The sequence below is a fragment of the Homo sapiens genome, chromosome 10 (genome assembly GCF_000001405.40).
Source record: "Homo sapiens chromosome 10, GRCh38.p14 Primary Assembly".
NCBI lineage: Eukaryota > Metazoa > Chordata > Mammalia > Primates > Hominidae > Homo > Homo sapiens.
Window position 1 is genome coordinate 37868762 of NC_000010.11, and position 20518 is coordinate 37889279.

The following is a 20518-nucleotide window of genomic DNA, read 5'->3' on the forward strand; positions in this document are numbered from 1 at the left end:
AGATTATTTTCTGGCAAATGTTTCTGCACTTAATTAAATTTTCAACCCATGCTTCATGCAGAATGGATTATTTCCTACCATTTGTTGGACTTTTGTCTGTAAACATCACCAATGATATATTTGTTTATTGCGGTAGAATATACATAACATAAAATTAACAACTTAAAGTGCACAATTCAGTGGCATTTAGCATAGTCAAAATGTTGTGCAACCATCATCACTATTTAGTTCCAGAGCATTTCATCATTCCAAAAGGAAACGTATATGCTTTACAGTCACTTTCCATTCACCCCTAAATGCACTGCCTCGCAACCACTAATATACTTTCTGTCTCTATGGACTTTCCTATTCTGGATATTTTACATAAATGTAATCATACACTATGGGTTTTGCTTGTTTTTTTTTTTTTTTTTTAATAGAGACAGGGCAGACTGGAGTGCAGTGGCTCAATCATAGCTCACTGTAGCCTTGAACTCCTGGGCTCAAGCAGTCCTCCCACCTTCGCCTCCCAAAGTGGTGGGATTACAGGAATGAGCCACTGTGCCTAGCCAATATGTGTTTTGTATGTCCATCCTTCACCTAGTATAATGTTTTCAAAGTTCATCTGAGTTGTGGCATGTATCTGACCTCATTCCTTTTTATTGCTGAATAATCTCTTACATGGATGCACCTCATTTTGTTTATTCATCAGTTGATGGATGTTTGGGTTGTTTATACCTAATGGCTATTGCGAATAGTACATCTATGAATATATGTATATAAATTTCTGTTTGAACACCTGTTTTCAGTTTTCTGGATATATACCTAGACATAGAATTGCTGGATCATATATTTTGTCTTTTACTGAGGAATCACCAAACTTTTTCACAGCGCTGCATAATTTTACATTTCCACCAACAATGTTTGAGGATTACAGTTTCTCCACATCCTTGACAACACCTGTTATTGTTTATTTTTTAAATTATAGCCATTCTAGTGTTTGTTAAGTGGTATCTCATTGTGGTTTTGATTTGCTTTTTCCTAGTGACTAATGCATTTGAGCACCTTTTCATGTGCTTCTTGGCCATTTGTATATCTCTTTTGCAGAAGTGTCTATTCAAGTCCTTTGTCCATTTTTAAATTGGGTTTATTGTTAAGAGTACTCTCGTGTACTAGACCCTTGTTAGATATATGATTTTCAAATATTTCATTCTATGAGTTTTCTTTTCATTTTCTTGATAGTATCCTTTAATTCATAAAAGGTTTTAATTTTGATGAAGTCTGGTTAATGTATATTTTCTTTTGTTGCACATACTTTTGATGTCATATCTAAGAATCCATTGCCAAACCTAAGGTCATGAAGATTTACTTCTATATTTTCTCCTAAGAGTGTTATGGTTTTAGCGCTTACATTTAGGACTTTGACCTATTTTGAATTAATTTTTGTTTATAGTGTGAGGAAGTGGTCCAACTTCACATTTATTTGCCTGTGGATATCCAGTTGTCCCAAAACTAATTTTGAAAAAACTATTATTTCTCCCATTGTATTGTCTTGGCACCCCTGTTGATAATCAGTTGACCATAGATGTATGGGTTTCTTTTTGGACTCTTAATTCCATTCAGTTGATCTATATGTCTGTCTTTGTGCCAGTTCCATACTGTTTTGTTTACTGTAGCTTTGTAGCAGTCTTGAAGCCAGAAAGTGTAAGTCCCAATTTATTTATCTTTGTCAAAATTGTTTTGGCTCTTCAGGGTCTCTTGCAGTTCCATGAGTTTGACGGTCACGTCCGTTTTTGCAAAAAAGGTTATTCGATTTTGTATTGAATCTGCAGAACACTTTGGGAAGTACTGCCTTCTTAACCATATTAAGTATTCTATTCATGAACAAGGAATATCTGTCCCTTTATTTAGGTCTTTAATTTCTTTCAGCAAAAGTTTTATGGTTTTCAGTGTATAAGTCTCAGACCTACTTGGTTAAATCTATTCCTAAGTATTCTTTTGATGCTATTGTAGTTAGAATTTTTTTTAAATTATAAATTGTTTTTAAAATTTACTTCTTGGATTCTAATTGCTATAGAAAAATGGCTAATTTTTCTGTGTTAATCTTGGTCTTATAACTTATTGAATTTCTTTTTTTTCTTTTTTTCTTTTTTTTTTCTTTGAGATGGACTCTTGCTCTTTTGCCAGGCTGGAGTGCAGTGGCGCAATCTCGGCTCACTGCAACCTCCGCCTCCTGGGTTCAAGTGATTCTCCTGCCTCAGCCTCTGGAGTAGCTGGGACTATAGGCATGCACCACCACACCCAGCTAATTTTTGTATTTTTAGTAGAGACAGGGTTTCACCATGTTGGTAGGGGTGGTCTCGATCTCTTGACCTTGTGATCTGCCCGCCTTGGCCTCCCAACATGCTGGGATTATAGGCATGAGCCACCGCGCCCAGCCTTGAATTTCTTTATTAGCTCTAATGGTTTCCCTGTGGATTCTCAAGGATTTTCTGTTCATAAGAAAATGTCATCTACAAGCAGAGATAGTTTTACCACTTAACAGAGGTGAAAGATTAGGGCCTTCTCAGGTCTTTTCTGAGCATGGGCCTTGTCCTAGATTGCTGTGTCATCATCTGGATTCCCAGGAGTATATAGAAGCTTTTCCAAAGCCCAAAAGCATCTCATTCTTCCTCCCAGGCTTATTTTTATGTATCTGTTGTTCACCCCAACTAATATCCTTTGCCCCAAAGGCCACAGCTGGTTCATTTACCTTTAAATGATTTCAATAGGTGCCTGCCACATTGTCATTTCTCTGTCTGAGAGTTCTTAGCACTGTGTGTTACTCTTTCGGCCACCACCAGACAGAGCAAAACAGTCAACCCCAATTGTTTGAGAACCAGCTCTATTCTGCTCCTTCAAGCACTGGGAACTCATACCAGGAATACGGGATTTCATCTTAAGGACTGTTACTGAGTCAGTGTTATGGGTTGAATTGTGCCTCCTGCAAATTTCACTCATTGTAGGCTCCACCCACAGTACCTCAGAACATTGCCTTATTTGGAGATAGATTATTTACAGAGATAATAAAGTTAAAGTGAAGTCATGAGGGTGGGCCCTCATCTAATATGACTGGTGTATTAATTAGTCCATTCTTGCACTGCTATAAAGAAACACCTGAAACTGGGTAATTTATAAAGAAAAGAGGTTTAATTGGCTCATAGTTCTGCAGGTTGTACGGGTAGCATGACTGGGGAGACCGCAGGAAACTTACAACCATGGAAGAAGGCAAAGAGGAAAGAGGCACATCTTGCATGGCCAGAGCAGGAGGAAGAGAGTGAAGGGGGAGGTGCTACACGCTTTTAAAAACAGCCAGATCTTGTGAGAACTCACTATCATGAGAACAGCAAGCAGGAAATCCGCCTTCATGATCCAGTCATCTCCCACCAGCCCCTTCTTTCAACATTGGAGATTACAGTTTGACATGATATTTAGGCGGGGACCCAAATTCAAACCATATCAATTGTTGTCCTTTTAAAAGGGAAATTTGGACACAGAGAGATGTACAGAAGGAAGACCATGTGAAGACATGGGGAAGGTGGCTGTTTACCAGCCAAGGAGAGAATCCTAGAACAGAACCTTCCTTCAGAGCTTTCAGAAGGAAGCAGCCCTCCTGACACCTCGACTTTGGACTTCTAGCCTCCAGACTGTGAGAAAATACATTTCTGTCATTCAAGCTGCCCGGTCTCTGGTACTTTATTATGACAGCGCTAGCAAACTCATACAGCTTGTGAGGGGGATGGGGCGAAGGTGAGTTAAAACAACATAGATCTTTCCTACCAGGTTTCAGCTGCCATTCTCCTGATTAAGATTTGCTTACTTGCTGTAAACCTTTGTCTATATTCCAGAATTCTAATAAAGCTGCTCTGACTTTTTTTTCCCGTATTTCTGTGGAGGGATGGACCCTGGGCGTTCCCCTCTCTGCCATTTTCCCAGACTGTGGTCTGTCACCAGTATTTTGCAGGTTTTGAGTTAGTTGACCTTTCTGCAGCACCTGACCCTACTGCCTGTTTTCTGCACAGCCTGTGCTGCTGGTTCCTGTGGCGCCACACCACCCTCTTCTCTTACCTTCCTTCTAATGACATCTCATTCAAGGAATCTTTTCAACCTCGTGGTAAATAACATATCCCCCATGTATTGGTTTCCTGTTTCTGAATGTAACAAATTATCACAAATGTAGTAGCATAAACCACACATTTATTATCTTAGCGTTCTGGAAATCAGGAGTCTGCAATTAGTCATATGGCTAAAATCAAGGTGGTGGCGGGACTGGTACCTTCTGGAGGCTGTGAAGGGAGAATCTGTTTTCTTGCTTATTTCAGGTTATCATGGCCCCTTCCATTTTCAAAGCACGTGATGACTTCAGTCAGCCTTTGTCTGTAAAATGCCTTCTCATCTGTAGTCAGATGTCCCTCTGACTCTATAAAGACATGTGATTACATTTATGGCCAACCTGGATAATCCAGGACAATCTCCCCTTTTCAAGTTTCATAATCACATCTGCAAAGTCCTTTTTGCCATTTATAGTCATAGTCACAGGTTCCAGGGATTAGGACGTGGATATCTGTGGGGCCATTGTTCAGCCCACCACATCTGGGTTTTGATCCTTGACTCCCTGTTCCATCCTATTTACATACATGCATTGGATTCTTACTCTCTTTGTATAAGTACGTGGAGATGTATGTTTGTATCATGGAAGAGTATATATTTTTGTTTATTATGTTTTTTAGAATTATATAGCCCATCTCATTTGGTATATATGTTACTACAGCTTGTAAAAAAAAATTAATATTGCACAGAAGATCTATCCAAGTTGATTAGTTTATTCCTTTTTATTCCATATATTCTGAGACCATACTGCATTTATCCATTTTTTCATTGAAAGGCATTTAGGTCATTTCCGTTTTTCCTTATTGTGTGTAATACTTCAGTAAACATCCTTTACTTTGTCTGCATAAAGAGAAAGGATTTCCAGGCTGGGCACAGTGGCCTATGCCTGTAATCCCAGCACTTCGAGAGGCCAAAGTGGGAGGATTGCTTGAGCCCAGGAGTCTTTGACCAGCCTGGGTAACATAGGGCGACCCTGTCTCTACAAAAAAAAAATTTTACTTACCTGGGCATGGTGGTGCATGCTTCCAGTCCCAGCTAATCAGGAGTCTGAGGCAAGAGGACTGCTTGAGCCCAGGAGTTCAAGGCTGCAGTGAGTTATGATCGAGCCACTGCACTCCAGCCTGCGCAACAGAGCGAGAAAGGATTTCCAGAGTTACTTGGTGCTACCAGTTTGTCTACCAAGTTACCGTACCACAGCCGTTTATGAGAGTACCATTTTCTTTTTTTTTTCTTTTTTTGAGATGGAGTCTCGCTCTGTCGCCCAGGCTGGAGTGCAGTGGCACAATCTCCGCTCACTGCAAGCTCTTCCTCCTGGGTTCATGCCATTCTCCTACCTCAGCCTCCCTAGTAGCTGGGACTACAGGCACCCGTCACCACGCCCGGCTAATTTTTTGTATTTTTAGTAAAGACGGGGTTTCACCATGTTTGCCAGGATGGTCTCGATCTCCTGACCTTGTGATCCGCCCACCTCAGCCTCCCAAAGTGCTGGGATTACAGGCATGAGCCACTGCACCTGGCCGAGAGTACCATTTTCTTTATCTTCTTCCTAGCAATTAATATAGTCATATTTTAAAATTATGGCCAATCTGGTGGATAAAGAAAATCTCACTGTTTTGATTTCAATTTCTCTGATTGTAGGGTTGAGCCTTTCAGTTTTCTTTTGTTCATATACCTTACGTACTTTTCTATTGATTTTGTTCTATATTTCTTACTAATTTATAAATTTGAAATCCTTTATAGTAATCTTTGTGTTATTTTTCTTTTTTTATGAGACAGAGTTTCGCTCTTATTGCCCAGGCTGGAGTGCAATAGCACAATCTCTGCTCACTGCAACCTCCGCCTCCCTGGTTCAAGCGATTCTCCTGCCTCAGCCTCCCGAGTAGCTGGGATTGCAGGCATGTGCCACCATGCCCGGCTAATTTTGTATTTTTAGTAGAGATGGGGTTTCTCCATGTTGGTCAGGCTGGTCTCGAACTCCCGACCTCAGGTGATCTGCCTGCCTCTGCCTCCGAAAGTGCTGGGGTTACAGGCGTGAGCCACTGTGCCCGGCTTATTATTATTATTATTATTTTTTGAGGTGGAGTCTCACTCTGTCAGCCAGCCTGGAGTGCAGTGGCACCATCTTGGCTCACAGCAAGCTCTGCCTCCTGGGTTCAAGCAATTCTGCTGCCTCAGCCTCCTGAGTAGCTGGGATTACAGGCGCCTACTACCACGCCCTGCTAATTTTTTTTTTTTCCCCAAGACGGAGTTTCACTCTTGTTGCCCAGGCTTGAGTACAATGGTGCTATCTCGACTCACTGCAACCTCTGCCTCCTGGGTTCAGGCGATTGTCCTGCCTCAGCCTCCCAATTAGCTGGGATTACAGGTGCCCAACCACCATGCCTGGCTAATTTCAATTTTTTTTTTTTTTTTTTTTTTAGTAGAGATGGGGTTTCACCATTTTGGCCAGGCTGGTTTCAAACTCCTGATCTCAAGTGATCCACCCGCCTTGGCCTCCCAAAGTGCTAGGATTACAGCCAATTTTTGTATTTTTAGAAGAGAGGGGGTTTCACCATGTTGGCCAGGCTGGTCTCCAACTCATGACCTCAAGTGATCCACTCGCCTTGGCCTCCCAAAGTGCCGAGGTTATAGTTGTGAGCCACCGTACCTGGCCTTTTTTCTTAATTTGAAAATCTATATTCCAAAGGGCATTAACATGATTATTTGCTTTATCCTGTAAAGCATAATATACCAAAATAACAATACCAATATTATTGTTAACAAAATATTTTTGAAACCAGTTTAAGATTTATTTTGCAGTTCTTTTGTCCTTAAGGCACAGCCCCATTGTGACATACAGTTAGATTCCTTTGTTTTAAATTTAGCAGAAATAATTCTCTGAGTGGTACGGCATCAACTTTAGATATAATTAGATTTATTTGTTTCATTGCTGTTTGTTTTTAGAGTTTTTATTTTGAAAATCATTTTTTATAATTATGAAAAATATTTAAATGTTTCCAAAGACAAATCTGTAAAGCAAAGTATATTCAGAGATCAGTCTGGGATTCATCCCTTTCCCTCCATCTGGTTCCTTGTTCCTTTCCTCACCTTATGAAGAATGATTTATTTTGTTTTATGACTTATCTTTTTATTGTTATTTTTAATATAAGCAGATCTGTATGGGGATACACATATTTTCCTTTTGTGTATAAAAGCTGCCACATTATACTTGATTTTCTCAGACTTCCTTTGGTCATATAATAGCACCTGGAGTTCACTCTGCAGTGGGATATGCAGGTCTTCCTCAGGTCTTGTTTCAGTCGCTTAGCACTCTGTAGTGTGAGTGTACGACATACCTTCAACCAGTTGTTTGCTAATCAACATTTGGGTTGTTTCCAGTCTTTTGCAATATAAATACTGCTTTAGCTTTGTGCCTACATCTTTTCAATTTTTTTTTTTTTTTTTTTTTTGTGGAGATGGAGTCTTGCTCTGTTGCCCAGGCTGGAGTGCAATGGCATGATCTCGGCTCACTATAACCTCCACCTCCTGGGTTCGAGAGATTCTCCCTGTCGCAGCCCCCTGAGTAGCTGGCATTACAGGTGCCCACCACGTCTGGCTAACTTTTTTTTGTATTTTTAGTAGAGATGGGGTTTCACCATGTTAGTTAGGCTGGTCTTGAACTCCTGACCTCAGGTGATCCGCCCGCCTTGGCCTCCCAAAGTGCTAGGATTACAGGTGTGAGCAGCCGCGCCCGGCCCCATCTTTTCAATTTTTGGCTAATGTGTCTTTGTGGTAGATTCTTAGAAGTGGGATTTCTAGGTCCAGTGGTAAATTCATACATATATAATGTAACTGAATACTGCCATATTTCACTTCATAATGGCTGCTTATTTTGTATTCTCACGAGCAGGATATGAGTATGCTTTTATGCCTGTAGCAAACCAAACTAAGTGTATGTGTTATTCTTTTGGGTTTCTGCCAGTCTGATAGGAGTGAATGGTTCAATGCAATTTTAAGTTACATTTTTTTTTAACTTTAAAGGGTAATCATTTGTTTTTTGTTTTGTTTTGTTTTGTTTTTTGAGATGGAGTCTTGTTGTGTCGCCCAGGCTGGAGTGCGGTGGCACGATCTTGGCTCACTGCAACCTCTGCCTCCTGGGTTCAAGTGATTTTCCTGCCTCAGCCTCCCAAGTAGCTGGGATTACAGGCGTCTGCCACTACACCCAGCTAATTTTTGTATATTTATTTATTTATTTATTTTTAAGACAGAGTCTCGCTGTGTCACCCAGGCTGGAGTGCAGTGGCACGATTTCAGCTCACTGCAACCTCTGCCTCCCAGGTTCAATTGATTCTCCTGCCTCAGCCTGGTGAGTAGCTGGGACTACAGGCACCTGTCACCATGTCTGGCTAATTTTTTGTGTGTTTTTAGTAGAGATGGGTTTCACTATGTTGGCCAGGATGGTCTTGAACTCCTGACCTCATGATCTGCCCGCCTTAGCCTCCCAAAGTGCTGGGATTACAGGCATGAGCCACCATGCCCGGCCAATTTTTGTATGTTTAGTAGAGACAGGGTTTTGCCATGTTGACCAGGCTGGTCTCGAACTCTTGACCTCAGGTGATCCGCCTGTCTTGGCCTCCCAAAGCGCTGGTATTACAGGTGTGAGCCACTGCGCCCAGCCTTCCCTTCTGTATTTTTAGGAACGCTTTGCCTTTTCTTTGTCACTTAAGTTACAGATACTTATTCCCAGTTTGTCCTTTTTAGAGGACAATAAACACCAGTTTACCTAGATTCAACAGTTTTAAGTATTCTTCCACACGTTCTCTCTCTGTCTTTATCTATGTGTAATTTTTCCAGGCCAGACACAGTGACTCATGCCTATAATCCCAACACTTTGTGGGGCAAAGGTGGGAGGATTGCTTGAGCCCAGGAGTACAAGACCACCCTGAGTAACATAATGGGACCCCATGTTACAAAAAATTTTTAAAAATTAGCTGGACATGGCGGTGTGCACCTTTAGTCCCAGCTACTCAAGAAGCTGAGGCAGAAGGATCACTTGAACCTGGGAGGTCAAGGCTGCAGTGAGCTATGATCGTACCACTGCACTCTAGTGTGAGTGACAGAATGAGCTACCGTCTCAAAAAACAAAACAAAATTTCCATTTTCCCCAAAAATGTCCTCTGTAGCTTTGCTGGGCCCAAGAGCCAATCAAAGATGGTTTTTTTTATTCCTTCATAATAATGGGCATTTAAAATAAGTCCTGGTCAGGAGTCTTGTTGAACAGTTATTCTTGAATTTAACTGCTCTTTAGAATCATTTGAAGCTCTTTAAATATTCCCATACCCAGGAGATATGCAACCACGCTTAGAAGCACTGTTGTAGAATGCCTGCACATCTGTATTTGACTGATTTGTTTTTCTTCACAATTAGATTCAGATTATACATTTTTCTTTTTTTTTTTTCTTGAGAATGAATCTAGCTCTGTCGCCCAGGCTGGAGTGCAGTGGCACGATCTCGGCTCACTGCAAACTCCACCCCCCAGGTTCAAGTGATTCTTGTGCCTCAGCCTCCCAAGGAATTGGAATTACAGGCACCTGCCACCACACCTGGCTAATTTTTGTATTTTTAGTAGAGACAGGGTTTCACTGTGTTGGCCAGGCTGGCCTCGAATTCCTTACCTCGTGATCCGCCTGCCTCGGCCTCCCAAAATGCTAGGATTACAACCGTGAGCCACCACGCCCAGCCTATACATTTATCTTATGCCAGTTTATTATGTAATTTTTATATGATCTCTTTGTACCACTATTTGTAATGGTACCAAATATCTCCATTTGAAAAGCAGCCTTTCTTTTCCTTTTTTTAAACTAATAATCTTTGGCTGGAATATGGAGACTATGTGAACATCCTCTTCCCAATAATCTTTCCCAATGGTTGACTATTTAGGGTGAGCACTTTTAGCATGTTTATTGGCCATGTTAGTGTTGTCTTTTGTGAAATGACTGTTCAGATCTTTTCCCCCATTTTTCTATTAGGTCATCTTGCTTGTATTGATTTTAGAAGTATTTTATATATTCTGGGTATAGTCCCTTTAAAAGTTCGATATGTTGTCAATATTTTTTTCTCTCTGATTTGCATTTTTTTTGCATTAATGGTGTCTTTTGATTAATTGACATTCTTAATGTGGTCCAGTTTATTTCAGTCTTCTCCTTTATGGTTAGTGCTTTTGTATCTTGCTTTAAAAAAAACTTTGCTTGTGAATATAGTTTCATGTTATGTTTTTGAAGTTCTGTTGTTTTTACTCATCACATTTTAACCTACAATTCATCTGGAATTGATTCTCACATATTGTGTGAGATTGAAGTCAAGTTTTCCCCATATTTAAACCCATTTAATCAGCATAGTTTATTGAGACTGTCCTTTTCCTCACTGCTCAGCTGTGAAACTTTTAAAAATAAATCAGGTATCCATGTTTGAAGGTCTGTTTCTAGACCATACTTTTCTTCTATTGGTGTTTCAATGTATTCTTTCACCAATACCACACTGTCTTAAATTACTCTATAATAAATTCTTATATCCACTAGTGTGTTAGTTTTCTAATGCTTCGTTATAAGTTACCACAGTTTGCCACAAAACAACACAAATTTATTACCTCAGGTTCCATGGATCAGGAGTCTGGGAATGGGTTAGTTAGGTCCTGTGCTCAGGCATAAGGCCACAACCGAGATATTGCCTGAGACACCTAATCTTAATGGAGGCTCAGAGTCCCCCATACACATGTGGCAGAATTCATTTCCCATAAATGAGAACCCATAATAGTTTGCTTCTTCTTAGAGGCCAGTAGGAACTTTTCTCTGATACTTTACCTTCCTTTTTTGAGACAGAGTCTCACTCTGTCACCCAGGCTGGAGTGCAGTGGCGCGATCTCTGCTCACTGCAACCTCCGCCTCCCAGGTTCAAGCGATTCCCATGCCTCAGCCTCCTGAGTAGTTGGGATTACAGGCGCGCGCCACCATACCCAGCTAATTTTTGTATTTTTAGTAGAGATGGGGTTTCGCCATGTTGGCCAGGCTGGTCTTGAACCCCTGACCTCGTGATCTGCCCGCGTTGGCCTCCCAAAGTGCTGGGATTACAGGCATGAGCCACCATGCCCGGCCACTTTACCTTCTTTTTAAGGACTCACCTGATTGGGTAAGGCCCACCAAGACAATCTTTCTTTTGATCAACTCAAAATAAACTGATTAAGGTATCTTAATTATAACTGCAAAATCCATTTGCCATATAATGTAATATAATCTTTACTGGAGCTACAAATTCTCACACTAACAGGAGGAGATTACATAACGATGTAAGTCATTGAGGCTCATCTTAGAATTCTGACAACCACAATTAGTGTGAGTTCACACATTTTTTTGTTCTTCTCTAAGACTGCCTTGGCCATTCTTGGTGGTTTAAAAAAATTTATTTTTAGTTTTAAAAATGTTGCCTCCATTTTTATTTATTTATTTATTTATTTTCAAGTGCAGTCTAGCTCTCTCGCCCAGGCTGGAGTGCAGTGGCACAGCCTTAGCTCACTGCAACCTCCACCTCCCAGGTTCAAGTGATTCTCCTGCCCCGGCCTCCCAGATTTGCTGGGATTAACAAGCGTAAGCCATCACTCCGGGCCTTTTGCCTTCATTTGATGATGATGGGAACATTCTTGGTTCTTTGAATTTTTTTTTTTTCTTTTTGAGATCTGTCACCAGGTTGGAGTGCAGTGGCATGATCTCAGCTCACTGCAGCCTCTGCCTCTGGGGTTCAAGCGATTCTGCCTCAGCCTCCCGAGTAGCTGGGACTACAGGTGCGCGCCACCATGCCCAGCTAATTTTTGTATTTTTGGTAGAGATGGGGTTTCACCGTGTTGGCCAGGCTGGTCTCGAACTCCTGACCTTGTGATCTGCCTGGGTTGGCCTCCCAAAGTGCTGGGATTGCAGGCGTGAGCCACCGCACCGAGCTGGTTCTTTGAATTTCTATATATAAGCTTGAGAATCAACTTGTCAGTTTCCACAAAAATATTTGCTAAGCTTTTGATTGGGATTACCTAGAATTTATAGGCCAATTTAGGGAGAATTGAGAACTTTGTAATATTGAGTTGTCCAATCCATGACTATAATTAGTTCCTTTATTTTTAAAGATATTCTGTTTTTTTAAAGATATTCTTTTGTTTTTCTTGAGAATGCTTTATAATTTTCTGTGTAATTGTCTTAAAAATGATTTGTTAGATTTATTCTGAGGTTTTTTTTTTTTTTTTTCGAGATGTAGTCTCACTCTGTCACCCAGGCTGGAGTGCAGTGGCGCGATCTCGGCTCAATGCAAACTCTGCCTCCCGGGTTCATGCCATTCTCCCACCTCAGCCTCCCGAGTAGCTGGGACTACAGGTGCCTGCTACCACGCCCGGCTAATTTTTGGCATTTTTAGTAGAGACAGAGTTTCACCGTGTTAGCCAAGATGGTTTCGATCTCCTGACCTCATGATCCGCCCACCTCGGCCTCCCAAAGTGCTGGGATTACAGGCGTGAGCCCCTGTGCCTGGCTGGTATTTCTTGTTTTTGATGGCACTATAGGTGGTACTTTGAAACAATTAGTTGCTGGTATATAGAAATCCACTTGATTTTTTTTTTTTTTTTTTTTGAGCTGGAGTTTTGCTCTTATTGCCCAGGCTGGGATGCAATGGCACAATCTTGGCTCACCACAACCTCCGCCTCCCGCGTTCAAGCGATTCTCCTGCCTCAGCCTCTGGAGTAGCTGGGATTACAGGCATGTGCCACCACGTTCAGCTAATTTTGTATTTTTAGTAGAGATGGGGTTTCTCCATGTTGGTCAGGCTGGTCTCGAACTCCTGATCTCAGGTGATCCACCCACTCAGCCTCCCAATGTGCTGGGATTACAGGCGTGAACTACCATGCCCAGCCGAAATCCACTTCATTTTATTTATTTATTTTTTGAGACGGAGTCTCGCTCTGTCATCTGGGCTGGAGTGCAGTGGTGCGATCTCGGCTCACCGCAACCTCCGCCTCCTGGGTTCAAGCGATTCTCCTCCCTCAGCCTCCCAAGTAGCTGGGACCACAGGCTCATGCAACCAAGTCCAGCTAATTTTTTGTATTTTTAGTAGAAATGGGGTTTCACCGTGTTACCCAGGGTGGTCTCCATCTCCTGACCTCATGATCCACCCTCCTGGGCCTCCCAAAGTGCTGGGATTACAGGCGTGAGCCACTGTGCCCGGCCTCCACTTGATTTTTACACATTGATCTTGTATCCAAAAACTTACTGAATTCACTTCTTACTTACAATAATTTGTAGCTTCCCTTGCATGTTCTTCATGCAGAATTATGACATCTGCAGATACTGATAGCTTTATTTAATTTCTTCTAATTCTTATAACTTTTTATATCTTTTCTTGCCTTATTCCACTCACTTTTACGCTCTGACCTATTTTTTCCCCTATTTTCCAGTTCTCGGTGTATGCCATGAACATTTACCAGCTGTTTGTGTTGCTAACCTGGGAATGGTGCTTCTTTCTCTCTCTGCTGGTTTGTGTCTACTTATTGGCTTCCCACTACCCGCAGCAGTCAGTCATCTCTGAGCTAGATGAAACAGTCCACTGGATTAAAGAAGAAAATATTCAAATGCCTACCTACATATATTATAATCTAAGAAAAAGAGTGAAATTTAATATATAGGTTGGCAATATAAGTTTATAATTTATAAATTAACAAAAAGGTTACCCAGGATAGGGCCAGGAGCAGTGGCTCATGCCTGTAATCCCAGCACTTTGGGAGGCCAAGGCGGGCAGATCACCTGAGGTTGGGAGTTCGAGACCAGCCTGACCAACATGGAGAAACCCCATCTCTACTAAAAATACAAACTTAGCTGGGTGTGGTGGTGCATGCCTGTAATCCCAGCTACTCGGGAGGCTGAGGCAGGAGAATTGCTTGAACCCAGGAGGCAGAGGTTGCAGTGAGCCGAGATTGCGCCATTGCACTCCAGCCTGGGTAACAAAAACGAAACTCCATCTTAAAAAAAAAAAAAAAAAAGATTACCCAGGATTGAAAAATGTCCAAATATTTTGGATACCCCTAATTCTATAGGAACAAGTCCAAAATTACTCAATGATGTTCCCTGAATACCTCTATAGCTCTTTATCTTATCAGCGTCCCAAACAATACTATTCTATGTGCTTATTGTTACTCCTTTAACTACATATGATAGCTGTATCCATTCTTATGCTATTGCCTGAGTTCATGAATAACACTCTAGTTGTTTAAGAATTCAAATCTTCACCTCCGCAGTGAAACCCAACCAAATAGCAGGAATAGAACTTTTCTCCCCCTTTGTAAGCTTAGATAACTTTTTACATCTTTTCACTATAGTACCTGCAACATCTTATTGTAGTTATGTGATTATAGGTTTGCCTGTGCTTATCAGACTATATTTTCCTTGAGAACAGTAACATTGTTTTAGTTGTCTTCATATTCCCCCAAAGTAGAATTCTTTGTGACACATAGGCACATGGTGGGACACCAATTACTTATCATGGCGGTGGGGTATATCTATTATGATTTCTTTTTTCCAACCAAGTACAGTGCAAAAGTAGACATCCTATAACACGTTTTTGGATTAACTGTGAATGGTGAACATTATAATAATTCTCTTACAGCGTTTATGTCTTTAAATTTTGATTGCTCAAATTTGAATGGAATGTACTGTTTCAGGGATCCTTGTCATTTGAAGATGTGACTGTGGGCTTCACCCAGGAGGAGTGGCAGCATCTGGACCCTGCTCAGATGACCCTGTACAGGGATGTGATGCTAGAGAACTACAGCCACCTCGTCTCAGTGGGTAGGTAGGAACTGTTTTTCATGTAGACTCCTAGTGTGTACATATTTTTTTGGTTGCTGAAACTTGTGGAAGTTTTGTTAAGGTTAATTAAACTAAACTTGATATTCAGAGTATTAAGCAGAAGAACTGTTTGGGGTGCTGTAAAGAATGTTGTTGTTTTCTTACTGTTTCCACACACGGTTGAAATTGGCTTTTGAAGTTTCATTTTCTCCCTCTTTCAGAGGCCCTAAAGTCCATTATCCTCACCTAGTTTCCATGTCATTTCCCGTTCACAGGATATTGCATCCCTAAACCAGAAGTGATCTTCAAATTGGAACAAGGAGAGCAGCCATAGACATTAGAGGAAGAGCCCCCAGGCCAGAGATACCCAGGTGAATTGGCATGTATTAAGCAGAAGGATGCCAGTGACATGGTATGAATTATTTTAATTCTCAAGAATTTGCATGGCCAGGCACAGTGGCTCAATGCCTGTAATCCCAGCACTTTGGGAGGCCAAGATGGGCAGATCACCTGAGGTCAGAGTTTGAGACCAGCCTGGCCAACATGGTGAAACCCCATGTCTACAAAAATACAAAAATTAGCCGGGCATGATGGCAGGTGCCTGTAATCCCAGCTACTTGGGAGGCGGAGGCAGGAGAATCACTTGAACCAGGAAGGTGAAGGTTGCAGTGACCTGAGATTGCACCACTGTATTCCAGCCTGGGCGACAGAGCGAGACTCTGTCTCAAAAAAAAAAAAAAAAAAAAAAGAGTTTGCTCGTATGTTCATTCCTACTGTGTGTCACTCAAGTTTTAGGTGCTGGAAATAGAGTAGTGAACTGAATTTTATCCATGACCTCATGGAGCTTACCTTCTGATTGGGAGAAAAAGATAAGGATCAAAAATGGCAGCACTACCACACATGCACAGAAATGCCAAGTGGTCATGTAAAATAGTAAGGAAATTAAAGAAGGTTAAGAATGATGGAGTGTTAAACTTTAGAAAGGTAGGCTTTTGGATGCTGTGAACTTGAATGATATGAGGGTTGGAGTTGGGGGTAGTCTTGATAGCAGGGAAAGCATCAAGTGCAGGGCACTGAGGCAGGAGTGCACGTGTGGTCTTTGAGGACACACAAATATCAGTGTGGATTGAAAAGAATGAATGAGGCAAGAGTGGTATGAGTTGATGTTGGAGAGGTAATGGGAGCCCAAATTATGTAGGGCCATATGGCCATGATAAGGACTATGATTTTATTTTGAGTAAAATGAGAAGCTATTGACCCAATAAGGAACATTTTCTGATTTGTCTTTTAAATGAATATCTCTGGCTGGTAAGCAAAGAAAATACTATTGGGGACAGAGGGATGAAAGCAGGAGCATGAGTCAGGAGAGTATTTCCGTCTGCAAAAAGGCAATAGTAGCTTACACTTTGGAGTGGTGGTGATTATTAAAAGTGATTGGCTTTTGGCTGGGCACAGTGGCTCACGCCTTTAATCCCAGCACTTTTGGAGGCTGAGGTGGGCAGATCACCTGAGGTCAGGAGTTCAAGACCAGCCTGGCTAACATGGTGAAACCCCATCTCTACTAAAAATACAAAAATTAGCCAGGCGTGGTGGCATGCGCCTGTAATCCCAGCCACCCAGGAGGCTGTGGCAGGAGAATTGCTGGAACCCGAGGGGCAGAGGCTGAGGTGAGCCAAGATTGCATCACTGCACTCCAGCCTAGGTGACAGAACAAGACTCTGTCTCAAAAAAAAATTAAAAAGTGGTTGGCTTTTCAATATGTTTTGAATGTGGGACCTGTAACATTTGCTATTGAGTGGGATATGGAACATGAAAGAAAGAAAGGAGTCAAGAGTGACTCTAAAGATTTCACCCAGAGCAGTTGGATAAGTGGGTACCAGTTGGGGGATATTGAGGAGAAACAGTTTTGGAGGGATTGTTACGTGTTTAGTTTGCACACATAAAGTTTCAGGTGATTATAAAATATCCAGGTTTACATGGCGAATAAGCATTTGGGCATATAAGCAGGTAGTTTGGGGCAAGTCCAAGAGGAAGATATTTATTTGGAAATTATCAGCTTATGGCAGTAGTTAACAGTTTTTAAGTTTAGTATTTAAAGCTGATGGATTAGATAACCTCTCTTTTGGGGTAGGACTGGAGGCTGTCCCCTGGGTCATTAGCTTTCAGAAGTCATGAAAGTGAGGAGACTGAGCAAAGAAGAAAGAAAAAGCAGTTTGGGGATGAGTGGAAAACAAAGAATGTAGTATCCTGCAGCAAAGTGAAGACACAGTGTTTCATGGAGAAAGTGAGCTTCTCTGAAGCAGGATGTGTAAAGTCAGCATTTTCTCTGTCTCTGTCTACAGATCATCCAGAAGCAATAAGGAAAAAGAGCAACACAACTTTATCTTATGACAATAGAGGATATCTGAAACCCCAAATCAATACAAGTGGAAATGCTGCCAGAATCACTGAAAAATTAAGGAGGTCTATATGTACCAGCAGATGAAAAGAAACAAAAACATTTCTGGTGCTTGAAGGAACTGGTAATATACTTGACAGAGATAAAGTACATACTCTGAGGTGCAAAGCTTAAATCTCTCTTGGAATAACATCAGTGCTGTGCACAGGACAGCTGGAGCTCCTTTGAATGCAGTTTGGTTCTGTGAAGCTGATGTAGGGTTACGTATGGAAACAGACACACAAGTCATATTTTTCTGTGACAATGCAAGAGATGAGACTTTCCATTTCAGAAAAAAAATGTTACAGACACCTGTATGTGGGGAAATAAACTTACATGCTATCTTAGCTTGTATTCCTACAAACAATTTGAAATAAAAATTTACTCAATAACTATTGGTCAGGATGGGCAGACCTACTGCAGAAGTGAGGAAATGGGGAATAAGGCTGGTTAGGACAAAGAGAAAGTACAAGAGGGTGATAACAGAGCAAGCCATTACTAAGGCTACTCTGGCAAGAAAGGAGCGACAATCTGGGTTGATGCATAAACTGAGTTTGGTGTATGTGCAAAACACTTGTTCATAAGAAGCTCTCTTGTTAGGTTAAGACATGGCTCTGTTCCCTTTACCTAGTAAAACTGATGGAGTGTAAAAGCTCATGTCCTTTGAAGCTGAGTAATCCAAAAGGAACCAGCATAAAATGCCCCACAAAACTACTGCAAGAAAAAAGAGGTGAAAAAGATTAGAAAAAAAAAGTAGGTGATGAAATGTCACCTGATCAAAGTGGACATAAAGTAGATAAATAATTGGGCCAAATAATAAACCATGAATTTCAAAAAGGACTAATTGAATTGATTACCTGCATGATATGAGAGTTCAAGAAGGATGTTAAGGCAACAGTATAATGTTTTAATTCATTTAATAAAATGCATTCTGGGATGTCAGGCTGAGAAAAGAATTGGAAGAGAAAATAAGAACCACAGTAAAGAAAACAAATTGGGGCCAGGGACGGTGGCTCACACCTGTAATCCCCGCACTTTGGGAGGCCAAGGCCAGTGGATCACTTGAGGTCAGGAGTTTGAGACAGGCCTGGCCAACATAGTGAAACCCCATCTCTACTAAAAATACAAAAAATTAGCTGGGAATGGCGGCACACCTGTAATCCCAGTTACTTAGGAAGCTGAGGCAGGAGAATAACTTGAACCCAGCAGGCAGAGGCTGCAGTGAGTCAAGATCACACCACTGCACTCTAGCCTGGGCAACAGAATGAAACTCCATCTCAAAAAAAATAAAAGCAAATTGGAGGATTCCCAAAGAATAGGCATTGCTGAAATGTAGATTAGAAATAAATGTGGAAAGCCTTTCAAGCAAGAAGAAACTGAAGTAAATAAAAGGTGAATATTGCATAAAGAAGATAGTATAAAAGATATTTCACATATATGCTATTACATACAGTTGATTCCCCAAAGTAGAAAATGAAATAAATAGAACCAATATTGAAAATATTCCAATAACACTTTTTGGGGAAAAGAAGATACAATTGAATCTACATAAAAAGACAAACCATCCCTCAGGAAGGCAGACCAACAATGATCAACATCGTGATATATTCCTAATAATATTACTAGACTTCAAAGATAAAGAATCATTTTGACAGCCAGTCAATATAAGAAAAAAGTCCAGCTGATCTCAGCCTTTTCCATAACAAAGTTTGCTAAAAAAAACTGATAAAAGTCTGCAGAGCAATTGCTACAAAATCATTAGGGTGGGTCAAATTAAGAACTTTATACCAGGTTAAAGAGCGATTCTTTAACAAAAAAGAGGAAACCTTTTTTTGAATAGGCAAGAATTCTGGGCCCTTTCTCCCTAAGACCTTTTATTAGAGGATGAATATCAGATAACCAAGAAGTGACACAAAAAGCATGGTAAAAATATTGGTGGTAGCCTCTGAATTTAATTGAGGAACTAATTCTAAAGCAAATGTGAGAATGTGTTATTGAAAACCTGGGCGTTATAGACTGTATTTAATTTGATTAAGTGGAGGCTAAAAACAAGTGGGAAGAATGACGGTATTCTAATAAAGCGAATTATGTTAAAATGCAGTGTATACATTCCTAAGAATCACTGATCTTTGCAAATGAGTACAATAAAAATCATAGGACTAATGGGAAAATGAGGTCAAGGTCTAACACTCAAAAACTTTCTGTGTCAGTGATACACAACAGTGAAGTCTTCAGTTGCAATTTTGGATTGAATTTCTCCTTTTGATTATTTTGGTTTTTGCTTTATGAATTTTGGAGCATTATTAAGTTGTACATATTAGGATCCTTATGTCCACTTCATGAATTAACCACTTAATAATTATGTAATGTCTCTCTTTATACCTAGTAATACTCTTTGTTCTAAACACTACTTTGATATTAATTTAGCTCTTCCAGTTGTCTTTTATTTACCTTTTTCCATACTTTTAATCTGTTTATATTTAAAGTGAATTTCTTTTTTTTTTTTTCTTGAGATGGAGTCTTGCTCTGTCACCGAGGCTGGAGTGCAATGGCACAATCTTGGCTCACTGCAACCTCTGCCTCCTGGGTTCAAGCGATTCTCCGCCTTAGCCTCCCGAGTAGCTGGGATTACAGGCACGTGCCACCACACCTGGCTAATATTTTGTATTTTTGGTAGAGACGAGATTTCACCATGTTGGCCAGGCTGGTCTCCAACTCCTGACCTTGTGATCTGCCTACTTCGGCCTCCCAGAGTGCTGGGATTACAGGCATGAGCCACTGCACCCAGCCATGAATTTCTTAAAATAGCATGTGGTTGGATGTTGCTTTTATAATTCATGTGAAACTTCTACTTTTTTTTTTTTTTTTTTTTTGGGACAGTGTCTCACTCTGTTGCCTGGGCTGGAATGCAGTGGCACAATCTCAGCTCACTGCAGCTTCCGCCTCCCGGGTTCAAGCTATTTCCAGCTAAACTTTGTACTTTTAGTAGAGACAGGATTTCACCGTGTTGACCAGGCTGGTCTCGAGCTCCTGACCTCAAGTGATCTGCCTGCCTCGGTCTTCCAAAGTGCTAGGATTACAGGCGTGAGCCACTGCACCCAGT

The 20518-nt window shown here is 41.0% G+C and overlaps 1 long non-coding RNA gene and 1 pseudogene across 1 annotated transcript; one reads left to right on the forward strand and one right to left on the reverse strand.

Annotated features, from left to right (window-relative positions):
- Positions 1 to 4198: 4198 nt before the first annotated feature.
- LOC124902413 (uncharacterized) lies at positions 4199 to 5172 on the reverse strand. The gene is made up of 2 exons (XR_007062116.1): positions 5132 to 5172; positions 4199 to 4438 (listed from the first exon to the last, which is right to left on the reverse strand). It is a non-coding gene; the product is annotated as an uncharacterized LOC124902413 (long non-coding RNA).
- ZNF37CP (zinc finger protein 37C, pseudogene) lies at positions 14859 to 15337 on the forward strand (annotated as a pseudogene).